This window comes from Homo sapiens, chromosome 6, assembly GCF_000001405.40.
Source record: "Homo sapiens chromosome 6, GRCh38.p14 Primary Assembly".
Classification (NCBI taxonomy): Eukaryota; Metazoa; Chordata; class Mammalia; order Primates; family Hominidae; genus Homo; species Homo sapiens.
The window spans coordinates 83,117,528-83,143,592 of NC_000006.12; the positions used below are offsets into that span (position 1 = coordinate 83,117,528).

At 35.0% G+C, this 26,065-nt stretch overlaps 1 protein-coding gene across 50 annotated transcripts in view; it reads left to right on the top strand.

The window, feature by feature from the left end:
• DOP1A (DOP1 leucine zipper like protein A) overlaps positions 1-26,065 on the top strand; it is a 103,680-nt gene that overhangs the window by 49,857 nt on the left and 27,758 nt on the right. For 23 of the 50 annotated variants that reach the window (XM_011535619.3, XM_047418434.1, XM_047418440.1 and 20 more), the window contains 16 exons: positions 1,361-1,460; positions 2,221-2,330; positions 3,156-3,264; positions 4,403-4,523; positions 5,336-5,455; positions 7,178-7,292; positions 7,973-8,206; positions 11,360-11,981; positions 12,596-12,870; positions 14,649-14,801; positions 16,660-16,760; positions 18,092-18,351; positions 19,646-21,635; positions 22,473-22,584; positions 22,694-22,876; positions 24,394-24,519. In XM_011535619.3, coding sequence (XP_011533921.1) covers positions 1,361-1,460; positions 2,221-2,330; positions 3,156-3,264; positions 4,403-4,523; positions 5,336-5,455; positions 7,178-7,292; positions 7,973-8,206; positions 11,360-11,981; positions 12,596-12,870; positions 14,649-14,801; positions 16,660-16,760; positions 18,092-18,351; positions 19,646-21,635; positions 22,473-22,584; positions 22,694-22,876; positions 24,394-24,519 — 4,731 coding nt within the window. Of the gene's footprint in view, positions 1-1,360; positions 1,461-2,220; positions 2,331-3,155; positions 3,265-4,402; positions 4,524-5,335; positions 5,456-6,630; positions 6,736-7,177; positions 7,293-7,638; positions 7,669-7,972; positions 8,207-11,359; positions 11,982-12,595; positions 12,871-14,648; positions 14,802-16,659; positions 16,761-18,091; positions 18,352-19,645; positions 21,636-22,472; positions 22,585-22,693; positions 22,877-24,393; positions 24,520-26,065 lie in introns of all 50 variants that reach the window. The other 27 variants (XM_017010559.2, XM_017010564.2, XM_017010572.2 and 24 more) reach the window with 4 other exon arrangements.

A 26,065-nucleotide genomic window follows, 5' to 3' on the forward strand; every position in this document is an offset into this window, starting at 1 on the left:
ATTTTTTGATTTTACTGCAAGTACATGGCTGTGAAAATATAATGATTACAAGTATAGTAGGTGCAGCTGCTATGCTGCCTCTTTTCATGCTAAGGTGCCAGCAGTTTTATCCACTATTGCATGATCAGGGCATATGTCAACAAAACAAAAAGCCCAATAACATCTTTGTATTGTTATGAATATGCATAGTTTTATTTGTTATGAATATGAATAGCTGGTTTTTACTTTGTGCACCCCCTGAAAAAGTCTTAGAGATACCTAGGGGTCTTGAACCATACTTTCAGAATTGTACAGATCAATAGAAGGCATTTGTGTTCAAAGGAGTGAACCTAATTCGTCAATTGTTGGTGATCTGTGTTCTGTATCATCTCAGTTATTTCTCTAAGGTTCCTTTAACACAAATGAGCTGGGTAAATCCTTTCTAATTCTATCAAGAAGCATGATATAGGACAAAGTTCACTGGTCTGTGATTAAGGAGAAGTGAGTTCTCCATCTAGCTGGGGCACTAACCAGGCATTTGAATTTGGCTAAGCACTTAGCCAAAACCTCAAGAACCTGTGAGGTTTAGATTCTTTACTTATAGAGTGGTTGTTAAACTAGTCAGTTTCCACATTATCATCTAATTCTCAGATTCCAAGATTATATTGTAAAGTGATTATCTGGCAGTATTCTTAAAATTAATAGCAAGTTAGTTGCTTTTCTTCTATTTTGATTTTTATAAATTTACCTCTTTTAGCTAAAACCCAGATCTCCTTTAATCATTTTTTTAAACGTTGAATTAAGGATATTGGGAAAAAAGAAAAAAATTATTTCTCTTAAAAAGAAATGGAACAAAATGAGAGAAAAATTAAGATTGTTAAAGCTGGATGATTGGTAGAAAACGGTTTATTATTTTGTTTTCTGTATTTTTTGATATGTTTAAAATACTACAAGATAAAAATTTTTAAAAAGAATAAAGAGTGGATGAAGATAGTAACCTTCTCAGGAGTTTATAGTCAGTTGACAACGTTATAAATGTGAAAGACTAATGGCATATCATTTTCTTGTGTCTGTCCCATCTTGCTTCATTTTATTTGTTTTATGTCAGAATTTGCTTTTATTATATAGACAAAGAACTTTAAACTGTAAGTTAAAATAATTAAGTTATAGTTTCAGTTATGCAGCTAAATAGCCATGTTACCTAACTTTCTTCCTGTTTCCTAATCTGTAAAATGGAAGTAATATCCTGTGTTTGAAATAATCCATGAAAGTACTCCATACACCCTAATATTCTAAGCATATTTCAGGGCATTTTTTAAAGAGGAAAAAAATAATATATATTGTATATTGCTAAGTACAACCATATTCCTAACTCTTTCAGGCCACTCGACCGGATATGATCAGGATCTTGTCAGCAGCCCTTCATGTAGTGCTAAGGAGGGATATGTCTCTGAATCGAAGACTTTATGCATGGCTTCTTGGTAGGTATTTGATGTCTGTGGTCATGATTGGGGAAAAAATGGAGGGAGATTTGTCATGTATAAGTATTACCAAGTTGTATGTATGTCCTGAATTTAAAAACTAAAATCTCTTGTGTAAATGGACAATAAAAATATAAACAGTATTAGTTGTGTATTGTATGAAGAAATTTCAGCAGCTTTATATTTGAAGAGTCTATTTGAATTCATAAAGTCATGTTCCCTTGTCCTTAACAAGATGTTTTTCCCCTTACAAATTGAGATGGTTGTATATAAGTTAGTAGGCAAAGAAGGATGAGCTAATAATCAAAATACTGTCCAAAACTTTGAATTCATCAAAGGAATCAGGACTAGTACCATTGTCTTACACATCATACAGTGTCCCACTCAGGCAGTAATACATATGTACACTTTGGTCGTCCATGCTTTTTGTGTGTTTTGTCTGTCTTCACAACTCTTTACTGCCTAGAGTGAGGGGACATAATATAACTTATTGTGGATGTTCTGAGTATTCAGTTATTTCACTGTTAGTAAAATTGGCCAAAAAATAAAAAGGATAATTCTGGAAGAATACTATGATACTTATGTATTGAATTGGTTTCCCTTTATTAAACTATCTAAAATGATCTCTCTTGCTGACATTGAATGGGCTACTAATTGGTAAGTGTTTAGTGCTGTTCTGAGATTTTGCTGTTTTGGTATTTAGTGAACAACAGTTTTGAGAATTCCATTTTAAGTAATTTTGTGATTTGTTTCCATGGAGGTTTTGATAACAACGGTGCTATCATAGGACCCAGAAGCACAAGACACAGTAATCCTGAAGAACATGCCACTTACTATTTCACTACCTTTTCAAAAGAATTATTAGTCCAGGTAATGAATACTTTTATTATTCTTTGGTTACTTACTGACCACTAGAGGTAGTGAAAAAGTGTAAGACGAGGTCTTGCCTTAATTGAATTCACAGTTGAAGGGGTGGAGACAAGACTTACAAACTTCCCAAGAATTTTTATAACAAGAAAATTCCTGTAAAATGATAATCATATGTTAGACTACCATGTAAGACAAAAGACTTTTTTTCTCTTACTTTGTTGTTTTCATTACTTTATTAAAACATAGTTGTAGCTTCTCACCTGTCTGCTCAATGGAAGTTGGAGCTTTTCCAAAAATGAGTCAGGACCTGTGCTATTTCCTGTGAAGCTCTGGAGAAGTTTATTTCATATTATTTTTAATTCAATTATATTTATTTAAGATATTTGAAATAGAAGAAAATACATGGTATCTGAAGCATTTTTAAATGAGTGAGGTTATAAGAATATAGTTGTTAAGTCACTAACGGGAAAATAATTGCCTAATAGCAGACACTGCCATGATAATGTGGCATAGTTCTGAGAAGAATGATCTTAAATAGAAATTCATCTGTAGGGAAAACACTCAGCTCATGAATATATTTTTCTAAATTTTCTTTGATATTCCACTATGTCTAAAGAAAATTTAGACACTTTTTTTCTCAAGATAGATAAATAATATTTTTTTCCTAGCAGAGTAAGAAGGCCAAGGTTGGTGAAAAGGCTTCAGAAAAGCAATAGTGGGTATAAGTCTCCGTTATATATGGTTGCATTTAAAAATACTTTTTCTTAAGGAAAAAATATTTGAATATGTTTACTTAAATGACCAGTGTACTTTCCTTTTTTAAAGGCAATGGTGGGAATCTTACAAGTGAATGGATTTGGAGAAGAGAACACTCTAATGCAGGATCTAAAGCCTTTTCGCATTTTAATCAGTTTACTGGACAAACCTGAGCTAGGTAATGTATACTGTCCTAGGGCATAAGGTCATGTGTGGTACTTTTGTGTTAATAAGAAAATAAAAAGAGTCATCAGGGAAATTGTTATATTTTGAGGTGGCCTTTAAATATAAGTTCTCAACAATTTCTTAAAGTTCACTCTACAAAGTTAAGATACAGGTATTCATCCACCTGATACGTTATTATGTATCTGTCTTGTGGTATGTATGTAGCAGAAGAATCCCTTTAAAGATGCTATCTAAGCTTCTCTTAATCCTGATTGTATTACTGAAATTAAAACATTAATCCATCATGAGCAATTTATAGTTCACAGAATCCAAGGACTTGAGGAAAATATTTGAGTTATATCCCTCAGCTTTCTTCTCCACATTCCCTTTATTTTGCATGTTCTCTCTTTATCCATTGTATATTTCTTATATATTATGGCACTTGAGACAGAAATTAGTAAAAAACATAAATATTTACAGCAATAAAATGAAATCATAAAGTATGTAATTTCTTCAAATTATATACAGATGTTTTAGCAGGTGTCTTCTCACCATTTTTTAAACATGAAAAATTTAAAATATAAGAATAACTTGAATTATATAAATGGTCTTGAGAGGTGTTTTAGCTGTTATGGTAACAGATGAAGCTCAGGAATTTTTTTAAGGAAATCTGTAATAGCAAGAAAATTTAGCCTTATGCATTTTAGTATTATTTAAATTAATAGCAGTAATTACAAGTAGCTTTTGTTGAATACTTATTATATTCTAGAAACTATGCTACCCATCTTACAAATATTTTTTCTAACCCTTAACAGTCCTGTAAATTTTGGTATTATCCTCATTCTGGATGAGGAAACTAAAGCTCAAAGAAGTTAAATAACTTGTCTAATGTAACAGAACTATTAACTGGCAAAACCAATTTCTCTGATTCTGTAATTTCTATTGTGTCAACCTGCACTTTAAATATTTGTTCAGTTATGTAATATCTTATATTACCTTCTCAAAGAAGTGTGAATTTAGCTTAGCTTCTGAAGAAATACTATTTTAAAAATACTTGTTTTTAAAACATTGTTTCATTGGGCCAATTTTCAGATAAGCATGATTTGCTCATGCTGATTAATTACTGTCTTTAATTTGAATATTAATTTTAGGACCTGTAATTCTAGAAGATGTCCTGATTGAAGTGTTTAGAACATTATATTCTCAATGCAAAGCAGAGTTGGATCTTCAAACTGAACCACCCTTCAGCAAGGATCATGCTCAGTTAAGCAGGTGGATTATCAAAAAATTAAATGTGACATGAAGACATAATATGTATTCACTTAATATAAACTTGAAGTGTAATAACTTGGGATCCTACTCTATGAAGTTTGTGTTCTAATAAGTAAAGCTGATTTAATACTAGTAAAGCTGATTTAATACTGACATACTAGTTGTATTGACAGTGCCTCACTATATAAAGACAATTGTTTTAATTGTTACAAAAGACAGGAGGAGGAAATAGGTAATAGGCTAAAGGGTTGCCACTTGAAATAACAAAGTTCTTTTTCCCTGATGCAATTTCAGTAATAGTGGCTATTAACAGCACTAGTTGGTTTTGTTGTTGTTGTTTTTCAAACTAAGAATAATAATTTGATTGAAACTGGTCAAGGTAAACCTTTCTTAAGAAAATCCTGAATAGCACAGGGAAGCAGACAAAATTCTTCACAATCAAGGCTGTGAAAATCAAATCACTACTCAGTTTGTATGTGCCAAGGGAAATAAAAGAATTTTGCCAAATTTACAGTCCCACACACTAAATAGTTCAAAAAGAAATTCTTGTTCTTTTGTCTTTTTTATTATGCAGAAACTGTGCAAGTCTCATTTCTGATCTTGATGTTTGACAAAAATTCAAATTTGAAAAAATAACTGCCCATAAAATGATAGGAGAGTGGCAGTAGATAAAAATTATTTGTTGCAATCTTCTTACTAGCACATTTTCTAGCAACTACCTAGGAATATGTACTGGCACTGCACTCAAATTTAAATTTGAAAAAACAAATGTTAATATTTTTTAGTTTTTGTTTTCTTTTCTCTTTTTTCAGTAAATTAAGAGAAAATAAGAAAACAGCAGAGCTGATTAAAACTGCTAACCTTCTCTTTAATTCCTTCGAACCTTATTATATGTGGGATTATGTTGCACGCTGGTTTGAAGAATGTTGTAGGTATGTTAAACTTTCATTCCTTTTAATTTCGTAACATCTAAAGCTAACCTTTGGGTTTTTTTTAAGTTGTTACATTTAATGAATGTTCTTTTATACATTCTATTACTAATAATAACTGTTACTTACTATCCATAATCTGACTCTACCTTGTCACATAGGATATAAAATCATTGATCATATAATCTTAGAATTGGAAGGGAGTTTAGAGATCAGTTATTCATACACCAGAGTAGATTAAAAATTTTCCGTCTTCAGTCTATAGTAATCCAGTTTTTTTGTTGTAGAAAAGATAGCAAATTTTTGGCTGCTGCCTCAGCACACTTTTCCAAAAGGATTTCCACTTTGATTAACAAAAAACTTTTTGGCCTGACTTGTGTTTTTAAAGCCATTAGAACTAATCCATGCTGTCACTGGGAAGTGATAAAAGCCTTCTACCCCTTAGCAAATAAAGCAAAAAATATGGTCTGAAAACCCTAGGATACTAGTGAATCTGAGTGGAATCTCTGTCTGGCTTCTAGACCAGATCCTCTCAACCAGATTAACCACTCAAGGCCCAGGAGCATGTAGTCAAAATGTAATTATGTACGATTTCAGCATTAGAAGTCTTTTAATAAAAAATGTTAATTGTTGCTCCTACACATTAATCTCTTTAGTGGTTTAGAAAGTTCCTAGCTTATTCAGCAGAGGTTGAGCACCCAGTTAAAAAGCATCATGCTAGGCAGATAGACAGTCCCTGTCTTCAAAGATCTTATAGTGGGAACAAATAAGACATGCACGCGTATATTCCTAGTATTAAAAATTACAAATGTCTTAATAGATTAAAATGTAGGAATCGTATTTTTTTGCCGCCTGGCCCTACCCTGGGTTTTTACCTTCTACATTCACAAATGCACACATCCACACTTCTTCAGCCAACCTGGACTATTCTCTGAAAGTTAGCAGCATTTTAACTTTCATTCTGCTGAGGCTTCACTTGTGCTATTCCTTCTGAAATACTCTTTCCCCTTGCCTATCTGCTAAAATCCTATGTAGAGGTTACCCACCTTTCCTTCCTTTCCTCAAATAGCCTATCAGAATCAATGCCTCCACACTGTCACATTGTTGCTTTTATTTGTCTACATGCTTATATTCTTGTTGGTCAGGGACTATATTATATTCTTACTTTGTGTCTTCAGAGTGGAGGGCAATGTATGGTCATATAGGATTTCTATGATTTAATGTGAATGTTTGTTGGAGGAATGATCTCTACTACTTGGATCAGAAGAGGCTTCCTGGAGGAGGTAACATTTGATCTCAGACTTTGAAGGACAGATGCATTCTGATCATGGGAAAATGAGATTGGGGAGGACAGTAGTACAGAAGGACAAATGAGCCTATTTTAAGACCCAAGGTTAGAAATCAAGTAGCAGTTAATCACTGTTAACTAGGAGGTGATATCTATACAGGAAGCAATGGGAAATAAGTCCCAGAAAGTGAGATCCATTCAGAACACTTCGAAGTACAGGATGGGAGTTACAGGGAGAGGATCAGCCTAGGAATCTTGCTTTGAGAATTTTCCATGAAGAGGTACAGTGGCCTGGGGGAAATAAAATATGTCATCACAAAAACATTACTGTGTGTGACCCAATATTGACTTGGACTTCATTAGAAGGATGATGATGCTGTCACAGGTATTCACATCACTTGACAGTATACTTAATAAAGTGAATTTTGTCCTTTTAGGAGGACACTGCATGTGAGACTTCAGATTGGACCTGGAGATAGTAATGACTCATCTGAATTACAGCTGACCAATTTCTGCTTACTGGTGGATTTTTTGTTGGACATAGTTTCTTTGGTAAGACCACCTTGGTAAGAAAATATCAAGGAAATCGAATAACGTAGTTCAAATATTTCGTGTTGTAGGCAAGCCTTCAGATACATTTCATCTTTAAAATTAAATTGATTTTTTCCTCTTTGGTAAGCTTTTTTCATAAGATCTTTCAAGTGTTTGTCCTTTGACATATACATATAAAAAATACATGGAGTAAACTTCATAATTGCATGTTATAAAATCTTAACTGTTTAGTGTATAGTGGTCTAATGCTGCATTTATATTAATATTATTTCTATTAAATGAAGACTTTTGGAAATCTTTTCCCTTCTGTTTTCTCTCCTCACTTCTTTGCTTTCTCATTTTGAAGCCTACTAGAAGTATGAGGGTGCTGTGTCAGGTATGACATTCAGCCTGTTTTGTTTTTAAATGATTCTATTTACTTTTGTTATATTATAATTTTAGTAATGTAGCAGATAAAACTGGGGTTATTTTATAATATATGCTTTGAAGTATTTAAATTGAGAATTTGGGAATAGAAATTTTATAAGGCATCAGTAATAAAATATACAGTGTTAATTAAGAGCATGATGCATATAAAACATTATGGATGAGTAAAATCATTGCCTATTTATATAGATTAAAAAATGTAACTTTTGGGTTCCACATTGTTTAAACTTTTTTCATTTCACTTTTATTTTCAGGAGACTTACATTGAAATCCAGACAGAACACTTGCCCCAGTTGCTGCTCAGAATGATTTCTGCCTTGACAAGCCATCTCCAGACATTGCACTTATCTGAACTCACAGATTCTCTCAGACTCTGCTCAAAGATCCTTAGCAAGGTTCAGCCTCCACTGTTATCTGCTAGCACTGGAGGTGTTTTGCAGTTTCCAAGTGGGCAGAACAATTCAGTCAAAGAGTGGGAAGACAAAAAGGTAATTTTAACTATTATTTTTGGTATTAGACTGTTCATATTTCTTCAAAGCAGAACAGTTACTTAGTAAAATCACTTATACATAAGCATTTAAATAATAGTGAGTCTTTCCTAGATCCAAATGCAGTGTTAGTAGGCTTGTAGGCTTTTGGTTATAGGGCAGTTTAATTATCTTTATCAGTACTTTCCAGTAGAAGTATCATGTGAATGGCATATGTAATTCAATTTTCTAGTACCCACATTAAAGTAAAAAGCAGGTAAAGTTAATTTTAATTCTAGTTTATTTGGACAATTGTAGCCAATATATTATTTCAATGTAATCTATATAAAATTGATGTCATATAAATAAGTGAGGTAGCTTACATGATTTTTTTGTACTCTCTTCAAGATCTAGTGTGCATTTTACACTTACAGCACATCTTCGTGCTGATTGGTTTGTGAGTATACAAAAGAGGCTAAAACAAAGGCACCACTCAAAGGTGAGCCACAACAGTATAAATAACCAATTAGGGAAGGGTAGGTATATGTAAAATAGGTGAAGAGTGGGGATCAATCAGAGGAAAGCATGCCAAATGGGAGGAGAGGTTCTCAATCTGGTCTGTGGATTTATCCAGGACTTGTAGCTAGGCTTTAAACTGTCTTTGGCTTGAAGGTGGGGTTTCACCGGGGACCCGTCCCTGGCTGCCTAGGATTTGTCTGTCTCCTGCTGCTATCACTATGCTAGTTGCTGGCTATCCAGTGGTGAGCTAAACATAGTCTCTGCCCTTCTCTATCCTTCCTTTCTAATTGGAAGAAAGATATTATACAAGTAAGTGCACATTTAATTACAGTTGTGATAAGTGTACAAAGGAAAATAATCAAGTGGTAGGAATATGGAAAATGGGGTGACCTGACCTACGCTGGGGCTAAAGAACGCTTTCTTGAGGAAGACGTGTTTGAGTGAAGCCTTAGAGGAATTGGTGTGGTGAGGGAGGTAAAAAGAGAGCACCTGACAGAGGAAGAAGTATAACAGCCCAGTGAGTTCACCTTGCCTGCTGCCTAGACAGAGCCAAATTATCAAGTCAGAGGAATTGCAATGGAGAAACAGTAATTTATGGACAGCCGGCTGTGTAGGAGACTGCAGTTTTATTATTGCCCAAATCAGTCTCACCGAAAACTTAGGGATCAGAGTTTTTAAGGATAATTTGGTGGGTAGGGGGCCAGTGAATTGGGAGTGCTGATTGGTTGGCTCGGGGATGAAATCATAGGGAGTAGAAGCTGCTTTTTTATGCTGAGTCAGTTCCTGGGTGGGGAACATAGAACTGGTTGGCAGGTCCAGGTGGGACCACTCAGTTGTTAGAAATGCAAAAACCCGAAAAGACATATCAAAAGGCTGATCTTAGGTTCACATAGTGATGTTACCTACAAGAGTAATTGGGGAAGTTGCAAATCTTATGACTTCTGGAATAATGGCTCGTAATATTTAGAATTCCAGTCCTTCTCATTCTAACCTGGTGGCTGGTGGCCTTTCATTTGTTTTACAAGAACAGTTTAGCTTTAAACTATAAACTAAATTCCTTCCCAAGGCTAGTTCAGCCTATACCCAGGAATGAACAAGGACAGTGGAGAGGATAGAAGATGAGGTCAGTTAGGTTTGATATCTTTCACTGTCATAATTTTCTCAGCTATGATTTTGCAAAGGCTCTTAGGCAGAGACGAGCACCAAGCAGACAAGAGATGCAGCTATAAGATAGGCAGAGGCCAGGTCTTAGAGGGCCTTGAGCTGTTCGAGGGCTTTTGTTGTTTAGGAGCACCGGGAAGGCCCTGAAGGGGAAAAGGCAAATGGCATAATTACGTTTGTATATTAGAAAAGTTACTCTGGCTGCAGTATGAAATGTAGAGGAGAAACAAAAACAGATGTGGGAAGACCTATAGTAGCGCAGGTGAGAGGTGGTGATAACTTGTGCCAACAAGATACGAGGAGTAAAAATAGAAATGGATGGATTAGCAATATATTTAGGAGGAAAAATAGACTTAGTAATAGATTGATAAGGGTAATGATCACTAACACTTAATGAGTGTTTACTAAGTGCTAGTTATTTTGCCATGTGCTTTATATATACCGTTATGTAATCCTCATAGCAATTGTAAAATGTAGGAATTACTGTCTCTCAATTATACACATTAGGAAATGGTGGTTTGGAGAAGTTAAATAACTTGCCAGGTATCACATAACTAGTGAATGGCAGAGCCCTAGTTGACTCAAGGCCTGCACCCTTAACCCCTCTACTGATATGAAAGTGGGGAAGGGGAGGAGGGGTGACGAAGGTACCAAGAATGACCCCTAGGTTTCTGTCTTCCTGACTCAAGGAAAAGTGTCATTCACTGAGGCAAGGAACATTGCGTGAAGCCCAGCTTTGGGCAACAGGGCTTTAGTTCATGATGCTATTATATTCTGACTCAGTCACCCAAGGAATTCTTACATATAACTTTTACTTAAACTAAGCCAGAAAATATGCTTGATATTTATACTTACTCTATCCTATTGTAGGGAGTAAAAGGCTAATATACTCCAGTTCTACTCCAGGAATGGTTCATTTGTTTGTTTACTGTAATTCTCTCATCTTCCCCTCTAGATTATAAAATATTCCTTTTATTTCTACTACCTAATACAGTGTCTGGCACATGATAGGAGTTCAGTAACTATTCACTGAAAGAAAGTAAGATTAATAGCAAAGATTTAATTAGTACTATACACATTTCAATAAAAATTTCACATTCATGTGGCCCTGAACAGATGACCTATTAGATTTTATTTGTAGTTATTAAAATGTCATTTTTTAACCTTACATATCTCATTCTTGGCATTGTTTAGACATTAGGAAAGTGATTTCATGAAGTAGATGAAATAGTCATTTGAAAACAAGGATATAGATCCTAGAGACTTGTATATATGTATTTTTGTCCTCAAGAATCTAACCTTATGTATGCTGTGTGTGTAGTGCATAGTAAATACTTGGTGAATGAATAAATCAGTGTGGGGCTGCTTTAAGAGTCAACAGAATGGGCAGATTAAGTTGTGAATAGTCTAAAACATCTCAAAAGTGGTCATTTCTAATTCCTAATATGTACACTTTGCTACTCAGCCTTTTGTTTTCTTAAAAATCTCTAACAGGTATCATCAGTTTCTCATGAAAATCCTACTGAAGTGTTTGAAGATGGAGAAAATCCACCAAGTAGTCGATCATCAGAGAGTGGATTCACTGAGTTTATACAATATCAAGCAGACCGAACTGATGATATTGACAGAGAACTGAGTGAGGGCCAGGGGGCAGCTGCCATCCCAATTGGTAGCACATCCTCTGAGACAGAAACAGCATCCACTGTGGGATCTGAAGAAACCATCATCCAGACCCCTTCCGTAGTCACTCAGGGGACAGCAACCCGAAGTAGGAAGACAGCCCAAAAGACTGCAATGCAGTGCTGCTTGGAGTATGTCCAACAGTTTCTTACCAGACTTATCAACCTCTACATCATTCAGAATAACTCTTTTTCTCAGTCTTTGGCTACAGAACATCAAGGGGATCTTGGTCGAGAACAAGGAGAGACTTCAAAATGGGACAGAAATTCACAAGGAGATGTAAAAGAGAAAAACATAAGTAAACAAAAAACTTCTAAAGAATACCTGTCTGCCTTCCTTGCTGCCTGTCAGCTCTTCCTAGAGTGCTCAAGTTTCCCAGTTTACATTGCTGAGGGGAACCATACATCAGAGTTACGTTCTGAAAAATTGGAGACTGGTAAGGTCATCTCAGTTTTGCTTATATTTCAGTATTGTCTGTAGTATGTTTTTTCTTTTTAAAAGAGGCACTCAAAACTGGGGTTTTTTTAGCCAGTTACTTTTTTTAATGTTTTAATTTGCAAGTTTTTTTAAAAATGAAATACTGTCACTATGGGGAGATTGATATATTGGAAGATTTTGTGATTTTGATGTCTTTCACAGTTTGCATGCAGATAAGTAGGAGCTGAAAAGGAAATCTCTGGAGAAAAGTAGCAGTAGATCTGCTGGTTTTCTTTGTTATGACCAGTAACATATGTATTTACCTTTATTTTGATTTTTATATATACACACAAAGTGCAGTGAATACTACATAATGCTTATTGATCAATATACTGTTTTTCGGGACAGAAAACTAGATTGTATGACTTGGCATAAGAAAAATATATATTGAAAAAAGTATAAGAAATTCTTGTTGCTACTTTATTAAAGCTCTAGACTAGGTGAGAAACCATGGTTTTGTTAACAGATCAAGGCCTTAAAAGTATTTAGTGGCTTTGTTTTTTGAAATTAACTTAGAGTGTGTGTGAAATGTTTAGTATAATGAACTCTGATTGCTACCATCTTTTGTTTCAGACTGTGAGCATGTGCAGCCTCCACAGTGGCTCCAGACTCTGATGAATGCTTGCAGCCAAGCAAGTGATTTCAGTGTTCAGAGTGTTGCTATTTCACTAGTTATGGACCTGGTGGGACTGACACAGTCTGTGGCCATGGTCACTGGGGAAAACATCAACAGTGTAGAGCCTGCACAACCCTTAAGTCCAAACCAGGGAAGAGTAGCTGTGGTTATTAGACCTCCCCTCACTCAGGGCAATCTGAGGTACATAGCTGAGAAGACTGAATTTTTCAAGGTAAATTCTAAGAAATGCATATATGACTATGATGATTACAGCCATGTATGATACTTGACCTAGTTTGCTTTAAGAATTATTTTTTAAATGTTAATAAAGCTTCATTTAAACACCTCTTAATAGGCCATACCATGTAGAAAATGATGCCACAGCTGATATACATACTGCTCTCCCCATCTTATTCCCAATTTTGTGAGCAGGGGAGAAAGATAAGGATAAAGGAGTAGGAATATTAGGATAAAGAAAGAGAAGTATTAGGGCACTGAAGCCATGTAGGAAATAATTTCAGCTAGAAAGAGGAAAGCGGTAGAACTTACTTTCAGATTAAGTGGTTGCAACACTTTTGCTTTTCTTTTTTTTTTTGAGACGGTCTTGCTGTCAGATAGGCTGGAGTGCAGTGGCATGATCTCGGCTCACTGCAACTTCTGCCTCCTGGTCTCAAGCAATTCTCCTGCCTCAGCCTCCCGAGTAGCTGGGATTACAGGCGTGTGCCACCACGCCCAGCTAATTTTTGTATTTTTAGTAGAGACAGGGTTTCACCATGTTGGCCAGGCTGGTCTCAAACTCCCGACCTCAGTAATCTGCCCGCCTCAGCCTCCCAAAGTGCTGAGATTACAGGTGTGAGCAACACTTTTGCTTTTCATACAGTAAAACCTCAGCACTCCAAAACTCTCATGAAAACTTTTTCTGACTCTTCATATTGTCTCATTATCATCTGTGGCGTATAAAGTCACTCAGAAAAAAATTCAGAAAACTCAGTCTTTGATTTCTACCACACTGGTATAAATATTATTCTCTATATCGAACATCAAGTAGATTTGGATTGTATACATCTTAAGCAGGTAGACTGTACATTAAAAAAAAGTTTAAAAATCTGATTTCAAGTCATTGTGCCCCTTCAGATATTTCCTCCTGCTAGATTAGAGTTGGATTCTATAATATTGTGGTAGTGAATCCTGAAGATTATTGCATTATTATTATTACTCATTGCATTATTATTAATGCTGTTACAGATCAAGTGCTATGTTAACATATGTAGCTCTGAAATACCTATTATCTATTGTATAGGTTTTAAGTAGTTTGGATATTTCAACTATGAATTATTTTTCACTCTGTAATATACAACCATAAATATTAAATTGCATTCAATGTGGGATTTGTATCTTATTAAGGATAGTTTATTCTAGCATCACTTTACTAAACACCACTAAATAACGAAATGGGGTCTTATCTGGGCCCTGCAGAAAACATTTACATGTCTGATTTTTTTTTTTTCGAGATGGAGTCTCGTTCTGTCGCGCAATCTCTGCTCACTACAACTTGCGCTTTTCGGGTTCAAGCAATTCTCGTGTCTCAGCCTCCCGAGTAGCTGGGATTACAGGTGCATGCCACCATGCCTGGCTAACTTTTTGTATTTTTAGTAGAGACAAGGTTTCGCCACGTTGGCCAGGCTGGTCTCAAACTCCTGACCTCAGGTGATCTGCCTGCCTCGGCCTCCCAAGATGCTGGGATTACAGCCATGAGCCACCATGTTCAGACAACGCCTGATGTCTGAAAACAAATATCATTAAAGGACTATCATAAAAGGTTCCAAGGGCTTGGGTGATCAGAAGGTAGGTACATGGAAGACTGCCTTAGTAACCTCATCCCCATGCAGTAGAATATTAAAAGCCTTTCAGGTCTGACAGAGAGCAGGCATTCATTTGTACCTAATAGGAAATATTTGTTAAATTTTCATGTATGGTATTGTGACTGTCACTTTTACATCTTTTTTATAGCATGTAGCTTTAACATTGTGGGACCAGTTGGGAGATGGGACACCTCAGCATCACCAGAAGAGTGTGGAACTATTTTATCAATTACATAACTTAGTTCCTTCTTCTAGCATCTGTGAGGATGTTATAAGTCAGCAGTTAACCCATAAAGATAAGGTAAATCCTCTTATCTTGTGCACACCGCCCCCTCCGCCACACACACACACACACACAAATACTGAAAAGTAAGAAAACTTTAGGGAAATTATTGCAATTAACATCGGAGTAAGAGAAAATAGCTTTGTTCACAGTGATCTTAATATCTTTAAAATAAATGTATTCAATTATTTCTAGAGGAAAGTTCTTTACAAAAGCATCAGTAATATGAAAAATTAAAACAAAAATAAAATGCTGGGTTTATTTCTTTGTTCAAGACACAGTTATGGGAACTGATGTTTAGTATTGGTGGTCTCAGTTCTTGGGTCATTTAAAGAGGAACCAGAGGCCTCAGTTATGGAACTTACGGATTTATTAACTAATATATATGAAATGAAATAATGTATAAAGTATATTTATAAGCCATAGAATGCTAATATGTGAGATTATATTATTTGTATTATTATACTGCATATCCAAAATAAGAATTTTGTATCCTAATGTATATGAAGTGTGATATATAATTCAGTTAAAGGTGGCTGAGAATTAGCCTGAGAAGAAGCTGGAATAATCATTTTTACTAACCTCATCAGGGTTATTTAATGACATTTGTGGTCTTCCTGTGCTGCTCTGTAATATAAATTGAAGATTTTATTGAAGAGCTTTTAGAAGTAGATTGTCCTATTTTTAAAAAACTCAAAATGCTAGTGAGTTTGAGTGGGTCATAATCAAAAAAGGAATTGTGTTAAATAAATGAAACATTTGGTAGAGGAGAAAGTAGTATATGAAGGAGTAAATGAAAGGAATGAAAAGTTTATTCCAAGAAAAATGTTAAAATTCTATTTCTGCTATAACATATTTTTTCAAAATTATTCAAAAATAATAGGTAAGCACTGTATTCTAACAATTTAAGTTTCACATTAAATATAAATCTAGGACAAATATATGCCTGTTTTCACTTGGGTAGCATTTCATTTTTAAAGAAATACTCCCAAGTTCTAAATAAAGATACACATCCATGAAAAAAAATTAAAATATCTTTTACTACTTAATTTTTACATTTCTGGTGGTTGATACAAATGCAGGCTTCATAAGAAAAGCCTGTATTAAGCCCATAGAAAAAACAAGCATGCCTCCCACCTATCACAAGCATTTAGAAAGTTGCCGTCTGGTTTCTTGGGGCTTTTGCTTGAAGGATCCATAAATGCTAAAGAAAGACTTTAAAAATTTTGATAGTGTGACAATTTCTACTTGATTTATACATGTTTATTATCTAATACCAAATGTGCTTGCCTATCTAAATAATTTATTTTTACATTGTTTTACCCATTATTATATTAATCTTTTTCCAAATAATCTCAAAAGTAGTTTAATATTTTTATTGTAAAAATTATTTTTAAGTATTTAAATTTTTGAGTCAAACCAGCTTTATAAGTGATGAAAAACTCATTTGGGATTAATGTATCATTTCTGGGACAAAAAATATATAGTGCAATGAAATCAATTTTGATAACTAAATGTTTATATTAAAATGAAGGAGGAAGTGCTTTCTGGACTCCAGATATATGTACATTAGTAACTTTTTTCTCCTGTTATACAATAATATAGTAAACTAATTACTTAAAGTCTGAACTCAGGAATAATTATTTATGAGACAGGATGAGATGATCCTTTTAAGTTCAATATTTCTGTATATATTTACATATTTTCTGTGTTTCTACTGCCATAAAGAATATAAATAAAGTTTATTGCAATGTGTGTTTGAATATTGTGGACGTTGAACGTAATACAGTACTCCTAAATAGTACTCTGATTTTACTAAAATCATAGTATCTTCAAGAGAGAAGAACATAATTTAAGCTCCCATGTTTCTCCTCAGAAAATAAGGATGGAAGCACATGCCAAGTTTGCAGTTCTTTGGCATCTAACGAGAGATCTCCATATAAATAAATCTTCATCTTTTGTACGTTCTTTTGACAGGTCAGTTACATTTTATATTAAGATTTCACAGTCATATATCTTAATGTTGCCTCTTTCCTTGAGTCCACTGTCTAGCTTGGCAAGTGTAGGAGATAGCAATTTACAAATTTTATAAAGAGAATTTATTATTTTGAAAACCGTAAGCTGTATTAAAATGCATGGCATTTTTACTCATCCACCAGGTTTTTACTTTCTGGTTTTGGAGTACCCGGCTCCACTTCCCTTCCTTGGACAACTATTCATCACGTTCCTGATAATGTTAGTGATAGAGCAATGGATACAGCTCTCTTGAGACTATATTCACATTTAGTGAAACTGCATATAGATAGTAGATTATGTGTTTCTCAAGCAATTATTTTCAATCTTCTGCCTAAACTAGATTTATTAAAATCTATAGCTGAAAACACTAACAGATTCTTTCCATGAATCCAGAGAACTTGTAGCTGCCTGAGAGTGGTTTTGGTTTTTGTCTGGACTACGTAGGTGACTTCAAATATCAGATCTGCATTAAATTCCAAGGAGCTGCCATTTTTAGGTGGATTCATATATTGTCATAAGGTAGTCTCACCAGTTGGTCTCATACTGGTGGCCATGAATCTATGTTCAAGGTCAGCTCAGGATCAGATGTGTCCTCTACTGAACGTTATTTCAGCTGGTGCTTTTCAACCAGCATTAGCATTTTAAGTCATCTGATACTGAACCATATATTGAACCCCTACAATGTACTGAATATATTGAACCTTTACTTTATAAATAATCATCTCTTATTTGACAACCATCTTTCCTAATTTTACAAGTGAGGGAATAGAGGTCAGGAAAAGTTGTTACTTGCCCAACACCACACAAAATATTTGAATCTTGGGTTTTTCTGATTCCAAACCACACTTTCATACCTTCCACAGATCTTTCCTTGAATTAAGCACAGAGCTTTGGCTCACAAGGAGAGTGTGAGCAGAGGAACATGGACCAACATGGAGTAATGCCGACTTGCCGAAGGCTCAGTGCTTGATAATATGAACAGGAAAATGTTGCTAAAACAAGACTAATCATATTTTTTTTCAGTTCTTCAGTATTAATCTTAGTAATGTATGCCTGTGAAATTTCAAAGCATGAGTATATTTTTAAAAGGGCAAAAGGTTTTTTTCCTTTCTTATACCCACCGAGACTATTGGGATTAAGATTATTAAAATACTATGATCAAAATTTATCCTGAAGTATGACTACTTCAAAATAGTTAATTCAAAATAAGAAACAGAATTTATTAATTTTATAAAAGAGTGTGACAAGGTAGATGTTTGGTTCTTTATTTTAATTATTTGTGTTTATTTTAGGTCACTGTTCATCATGTTAGATAGCCTTAACAGTCTCGATGGTTCTACTAGCTCTGTGGGACAAGCCTGGCTGAACCAAGTCCTACAAAGACATGATATTGCACGAGTTTTGGAACCATTGCTATTGCTCCTGCTTCATCCAAAAACTCAGAGGGTTTCAGTACAGCGTGTACAAGCAGAACGTTATTGGAATAAGTCTCCCTGTTATCCAGGAGAGGAGAGTGACAAGCATTTCATGCAAAATTTTGCCTGCAGCAATGGTGAATAACACATAGAAGTAGACAGCTTTATTTAGAATTATTAAAATAAAGTGATACATGAATACAACAGTAATTGTTGAAAGAACTGCATGTGAGATTTTCTCCATGGGCTTATTTTCTCCCCTCCTCATGCACTAGCAATGCTGTGTGGACCATGTCAGAATGTACTTTGTCAATGACCATCTTAGAGGATGTGGGTCTCTCAGTTGACTCTTTCAGGGCAGGAATCAGGCACAGCTCTGATTAGAGACATTCTTCAATTTTGATGGAAATATCTTTAGAGCTTAGTTAGCAATTCTGGTCCTACAGGCTCTGTAGATACTTCATTGGGAATTTATAGTAAATCTGTAATGCACATTTTGTATTTCATGAGTCATTTTCCTCATCTTTTAAGAGAAGAATAATGCTCAACTTTCAAGGTTTTATTATGACCATCAGATGTAGTCATGTTTGTGACATGCCTAAATATTCACTATTACTATATTACTACAAAGTCCATACTTTATAGTTGAGTGATGCCTTCTATACAGTGATATTGTCCCCTTAGATTAATTTATTTCATTTAAGGGACAAAGACTCTCACATATGTCATTTGTCTCTTGACAAACCCTGTGGTGGTAATGAAAAGATCATTTTACTGAGCAGGTTGCTGATGCCTAGAAGGCTATGGCTTTCTCAGAGTCTCATGGCTATTAAGTGATGAAGCTGAAACCAAACTGTCATAGTCCTACTTCATCTCTAGTGTGTTTCTACAGAGTCTTGGTTCCTCTCTCTGGCTTCTTTTCTATTCCTTCTTCTGAATCTTGTAAGAATTTGCATTACCCTGCTTATTGCCAGAATGTCTTTGTGTTAATGCTTTATCTAACTGTCTGCTGAATTCTCACCTCCCCTCTGAGATCAGTGCCAGACCTCATCAATGGTATCATGATTCTTTCCCTAAATTTGCTAGCATTTGGTATGTACTACTTTGTATGTCACTAAGCCTTCCACCTTTTCTAAAAGAAGACCGTCATTATTGTATGCCCCCTAAAAAATACAGAAATGAATTATGTATTTGTGGTTTGCTGCTAATTTTAAAGTCTTTAGAGAGCTTAGAAACAGCATAACTAAAGTGAGGTATTAAGGAGGAAAAAACAAAACTTTCACCTGCAATAAAATAAAATGTAATTTTAGGAAAATATAAGTAGATGATGACACTAATGATTAAAAATTTTGATCAGTCTACATTTCTACATTTCAATTATTTTAATGCATTTTGTATTTTTCTTCTTTTACTGTTTTTCTCATATATCAGTGAGCCAAGTACAACTCATCACATCAAAAGGAAATGGTGAAAAGCCACTTACCATGGATGAAATAGAGAACTTTAGTCTCACTGTGAATCCATTAAGTGACAGACTTTCCCTCCTAAGTACCAGCAGTGAGACAATTCCAATGGTTGTGTCTGATTTTGATCTTCCAGACCAACAGATAGAAATACTTCAGAGTTCTGACTCGGGATGTTCACAGTCCTCTGCTGGGGACAACTTGAGTTACGAAGTTGATCCTGAAACCGTGAATGCCCAAGAGGATTCTCAAATGCCCAAGGAAAGCTCCCCAGATGATGATGTTCAACAGGTAGTATTTGACCTGATATGTAAAGTTGTAAGTGGCCTCGAAGTGGAATCTGCATCAGTTACATCTCAATTAGAAATTGAAGCTATGCCCCCAAAGTGCAGTGATATAGATCCAGATGAAGAGACGATTAAAATTGAAGATGACTCCATTCAACAGAGTCAGAATGCTTTGCTGAGTAATGAAAGTTCTCAGTTTCTGTCTGTGTCTGCAGAGGGAGGCCATGAGTGTGTGGCAAATGGAATCTCCAGGAATAGCTCCTCACCTTGTATTTCAGGAACCACACACACTCTTCATGACTCTTCTGTTGCTTCCATAGAAACCAAATCTAGACAAAGGAGTCACAGTAGTATTCAATTCAGCTTCAAAGAAAAATTATCAGAAAAAGTTTCGGAGAAGGAAACAATAGTTAAGGAGTCAGGTAAACAACCAGGAGCAAAACCTAAAGTAAAACTTGCCAGAAAAAAGGATGATGACAAGAAAAAATCTTCAAATGAAAAACTCAAACAAACCAGTGTATTCTTCAGTGATGGTCTGGATTTAGAGAACTGGTATAGCTGTGGAGAGGGAGACATTTCTGAAATTGAGAGTGACATGGGTTCTCCAGGATCTCGAAAATCTCCCAATTTCAACATTCATCCTCTCTATCAACATGTGCTCCTGTATCTCCAGTTGTATGATTCATCCAGGACTTTGTATGCTTTCTCTGCCATCAAAGCCATCTTGAAAACTAACCCTATAGCTTTTGTAAATGCCATTTCAACTACTAGTGTAAATAATGCATATACTCCTCAGTTGTCTCTCCTTCAGAATCTATTGGCCAGACACCGGATTTCTGTTATGGGCAAAGATTTTTATAGTCACATTCCAGTGGACTCAAATCATAACTTCCGGAGTTCTATGTACATAGAAATTCTTATTTCTCTCTGCTTATATTACATGCGTAGCCATTACCCAACTCATGTCAAGGTTACTGCACAAGATTTAATAGGCAATCGAAACATGCAAATGATGAGCATAGAAATTCTGACACTACTCTTCACTGAGCTGGCAAAAGTAATAGAAAGCTCAGCGAAGGGTTTCCCTAGTTTTATTTCTGATATGTTATCTAAGTGCAAAGTTCAGAAAGTGATTCTTCATTGTTTGCTGTCATCTATCTTTAGTGCTCAGAAATGGCATAGTGAAAAAATGGCAGGTAAGAACCTGGTTGCTGTGGAAGAAGGTTTCTCAGAGGACAGCCTTATTAATTTCTCAGAGGATGAATTTGACAATGGCAGCACGTTGCAGTCACAACTTCTTAAGGTGCTTCAGAGGCTGATTGTTCTAGAACACAGAGTAATGACTATTCCTGAAGAGAATGAAACAGGTTTTGATTTTGTTGTATCTGACTTAGAACACATCAGTCCCCATCAACCCATGACTTCTCTTCAGTATTTGCATGCTCAGCCAATCACATGTCAAGGCATGTTCCTCTGTGCAGTGATACGAGCTTTGCATCAGCACTGTGCATGTAAGATGCACCCACAATGGATTGGTTTAATCACATCTACTCTGCCTTACATGGGAAAAGTTCTGCAGAGAGTGGTTGTTTCTGTGACACTACAACTGTGCAGAAATTTAGATAATCTAATTCAGCAGTACAAATACGAAACAGGATTATCTGATAGTAGGTAAGAGGTGATTTTTAACTTTATTGGTACTGACATTTTTCACATATATGACTGCTTAATGTCTGGAAAGTTGGTCACAACTTGAGTAAATAAAGTAATGGTTTTTGGTAGGTTACAAATAGTGTATTACTTTCCACAAAAAAGAAAATTTGACTTGAGGAAGAGTATCAGTAAAAGAATCTAGAATGGAAAAGGGAAGGAATATTTAAACAGGCTTATTTTCTACCAAGATCTAAAATTAATTTCAATGCTCTTCTCTTCTTGCCTGAGCTGGCAAAACTAATGGGAAGCTTAGAAAAGGGTTTCCCAGGTTTTGTCTGTTTTATCTAAGTGCAAATCAATTTCAGACTGAAAATAATTTAAATTTACAAATCTTTTCCATCCAATTTTATTTCTTGTTTTGGATTTTCATGGTTTAGTGACAAAATTCGATCTGAGTCTCTATGCTCAAAATGAAGTCTGAAAAATTAGTTCCAGTAGACTGTCATTTTTCTTCAGAATAACCTTAGTTTCTACATGTAAAATAATAAGAAAACTGCCTGTATTGTTTAATATTAATATGCCTGCCATTCCTCAGTGGCTAGAGAGTCACTAGCCATCATTTGTTTATTTTGTATAGAATTCTTTAGCCAAAAAGAACTCTAGTACATTTAGTCCAACTCACTTATTTTATAGATTAGGAAATAAAAGCCCCTGATTTATTCTTTTAGCCATTTGTTAATCTAGTATTTATTGCACATCTTCTGTGTACCTGACACATTGTGAGTATTTACTAGTGATAAAATATGAACTATACTATCATAAAACTTGTGTTTAAATGAATGCATTTTACTTCAGGCCTCTGTGGATGGCATCAATTATTCCACCAGATATGATTCTTACTCTTTTGGAAGGGATTACAGCCATTATCCATTACTGTTTGTTGGATCCAACTACACAGTATCACCAAGTAAGACTGCACAAATATTTGACTTCTTTTGAAAGACTGTGAGGTCTAATAAATTTCCATTTGTAAATCTCAGTAAGTAATATGTTTCTTTTCCCCCAACTGTTAATAGCTTTTGGTCAGTGTAGACCAGAAACACTTGTTTGAAGCACGCAGTGGAATCCTCTCAATCCTTCATATGATCATGTCCTCTGTGACACTGCTTTGGAGCATACTGCATCAAGCTGATTCTTCAGAAAAGATGACTATTGCCGCATCCGCATCTCTTACCACTATTAATCTTGGAGCTACAAAGGTTAGACAATTCATATTTAATCTGTAGAGCTCAAGAGTCTGAGGACCTTCCCAAAGATTATATTCAGAATATGTGAATAATTTGTGTAGTATTTACAGGACTCTGCTAATTATCAAATAATTTTTAACAGTTTTCCTGGGCTATGGCTGACGTATCATAGAATTTGCCCATTTTTAAGTATACAATTCAGTAATTTTTTTAGTAAATTTACAGAGTTGTGAACTATCACCCCAGTCCAATTTTTGAATATGTTCTTTACCACAGATTCCTCATGGCCATTTGCACTCACTCCCTGTTCCCATCCCTAATCCCAATCAACCACGAATCTATTCTCTCCATATATTGATTTGCTTTTTCTGAAAAAGTTCATATAAATGGAATGATAACAATATTTGGTCTTTTGTGTCTAGCTTCTTTCACGTGACATATTTTTAAGGTTCATTCATACATGTTATAACTTTATTCCTTTTTTTTTTAGGGCATTTTAAATTGACATTTTAATATGCAAAGCCCTCCTAGAAAACAATTTAGCAATATGTATAGAGAGCTTTAAAGGTTTCATAGTCTTTGACCTAGTAATCTACTTTAGGAATGAATTCTAAGGTAATTGAAATTATACAAAGATGTATATACAAAGTGTTCATTATAGTATTATTTAATGGCAGAAAAAACAGAGATCCTAAACAATTAATTAGGGAATGTTTAAATTATCCTTTCAATGTTTCATTACATAGCCACTAATATTCATGGTTTTGAAGAATTCTTATTGGATGGAGAAGGGCTCAAAAGCTCAGTGAAACAGGGATGTTACATAATTGAACAAATACCATATTTTCAATTATGTAAAAAATGTTATCTGCAGAAAAAGGAATAAAGAAAGTTTGCATTTTATCAGTAATTATCTCAGGATGGTGGGATAACTTATTGATTTTTAAATTTTTTTTCTTCCTTGCACTCTGATATTTTCCAAATGCTGTGCCATGTCAAGCTGTCAAATTGATATCCTTCAATAACCTAATTTTGCTCCTAGACCAGACCACCTGGATCAGGGATCCAAGGGAACACATAGGGAAGTGGGAAAAGGGTAAGGGTGGGAACCATTAGAACATTTGATCTAAGTTTTGATGCTTGGATTAAACTATACTTTTTATGTTTCGTTTTACTTAAATAAAACAGAAGGTGTTTTATAATTATAGAATCCCTCACCTTTTTTTAAAGGACTCTATATCAGACTTACTAAGTTGAATTTTATATGTGTTGTGTTTTTCTAGTATCTTTTCACAGTGAATAGACTTTTATTTGGCTGATTGGTAGCCGTCATTTTATAGGATTTGTTTTTCTTTTAGAATTATAGTCATATTGTAGCTCTTAACGTTATTAAAGTTTCCTCTAGTGTTATTTAGATAGTAAAACCTATAAGTACTATATTATTTCAAAGAAACCAAAAACGCAGTCTAGTTGTAAATGTTTTTTCATTTTTTAAAAGTTTCACTTTCATTTGCTTCAAATTGTTTTAGAACTTGAGACAACAGATTCTTGAATTGTTGGGCCCCATTTCAATGAATCATGGTGTTCACTTTATGGCTGCCATTGCATTTGTGTGGAATGAAAGAAGACAGAATAAAACAACCACCAGGACCAAGGTATGTATTTAGACATTTGGCACTTTTTGTTTTTGCATTTGGTGAGTACATGCTAATTTCCACTTCTCCATATATTGCAGTGGGGCCGGGGTAGATTCGAGTGTAAAGCAAAAGTCTGTCGACAGCTTTAGATAAATTGTTGCCTTAATTTCTTTAAGTATTGATTAAAATTTGAGGTCAAGGCTAGGCACGGTGGCTCACACCTGTAATCCCAGCACTTTGGGAGGCCGAGGAGGGCGGATCATGAGGTCAGGAGATCCAGACCAGCCTGGCCAACATAGTGAAACCCCGTCTCTACTAAAAATACAAAAATTAGCCAGGCATGGTGGCACACGCCTGTAGTCCCAGGTACTCGGGAGGCTGAGGCAAGAGAATTGCTTGAACCTGGGAGGCGGAGGTTGTGGTGAGCCAAGATCATGCCACTGCACTCCAGCCTGGGCAACAGAGCAAGACTCTTCCTCAAAAAATAAATAAATAAAGATAAAAATAAAATAAAATTTGAGGTCAAATATAAAAGATATGTGAAAAAAGAGAAATTAGTATGATATTAAAACTAAATAGAAATGGTAATATGGTACAGTATATTTTTCAAGTGCTAGTCATTTAGGGTACAAAGCAAGGATATGGAGAAAAGTTTTCATCTTGACTATAGTTTACTATGATGTGATAGTTCAAAGAGTTCTTGTTTCTAAATATAATTCACAAATTTTTTTTTCTACTTTTTTTGGTAGAGATGAGGTCTCACTTTGCTGTTGGTCTTAGCTGAGTTATATATGTGAATTTTGTTGCTTTCTGAGTTTCAAAGCTCAAGAGAAATGCTCTATATTGAAAACAAATCATGGCACATTAGAATAGTAAGGCTATTATATAACTTACATTTATATAAAATATATGATTTTTTCCACCTAACAATTCCTGATTTTGTGCTGATTTTACATTACATTTTTAAATTAATCAAAATAAACATTCACACCATATTACATTATTTTGCATGTGAAGATTCAGTAGTAGATATCACTCACATTGAAAATTTAAATCCTGGACTACTTAAAAGCAGTAAAGAACATTTGATTTAACATGGCATGTTGAAGCCAGGCACAGTGGCTCATAGCTATAATCCCAGCACTTTGGGAGACCAAGGCGGGAGGATTGCTTGAGGCCAAGAATTCAAGACCTCATGAGACCCTGTCTCTACAAAAAATAAAAATAGTGAAGTGTGGTGGCATTTGCCTGTAGACCTATCTACTCAGGAGGCTGAGGCAGGAGAATTATCAGGTATATTACAGCTGATAATATGTAATTCACATAGAGCAATGCCTAGCACTTAATAATCACTGTGTAAATATTAGCTATATTATTCCTCATATTTAAATAGAAATAGAGAGCCAAGGATTACCAGTCACATAAAGTCTCTAATGTGATAGACAGACTGAAACAACTAGATTTTAAAAAGTCAAACAGTGCAGATAACAGAAGAAAATGTAAATAATAGTAATGTCCTTAAGTGGGTGAGACCATGAAGTAGAAAGGGAGATCATAGGAAAGA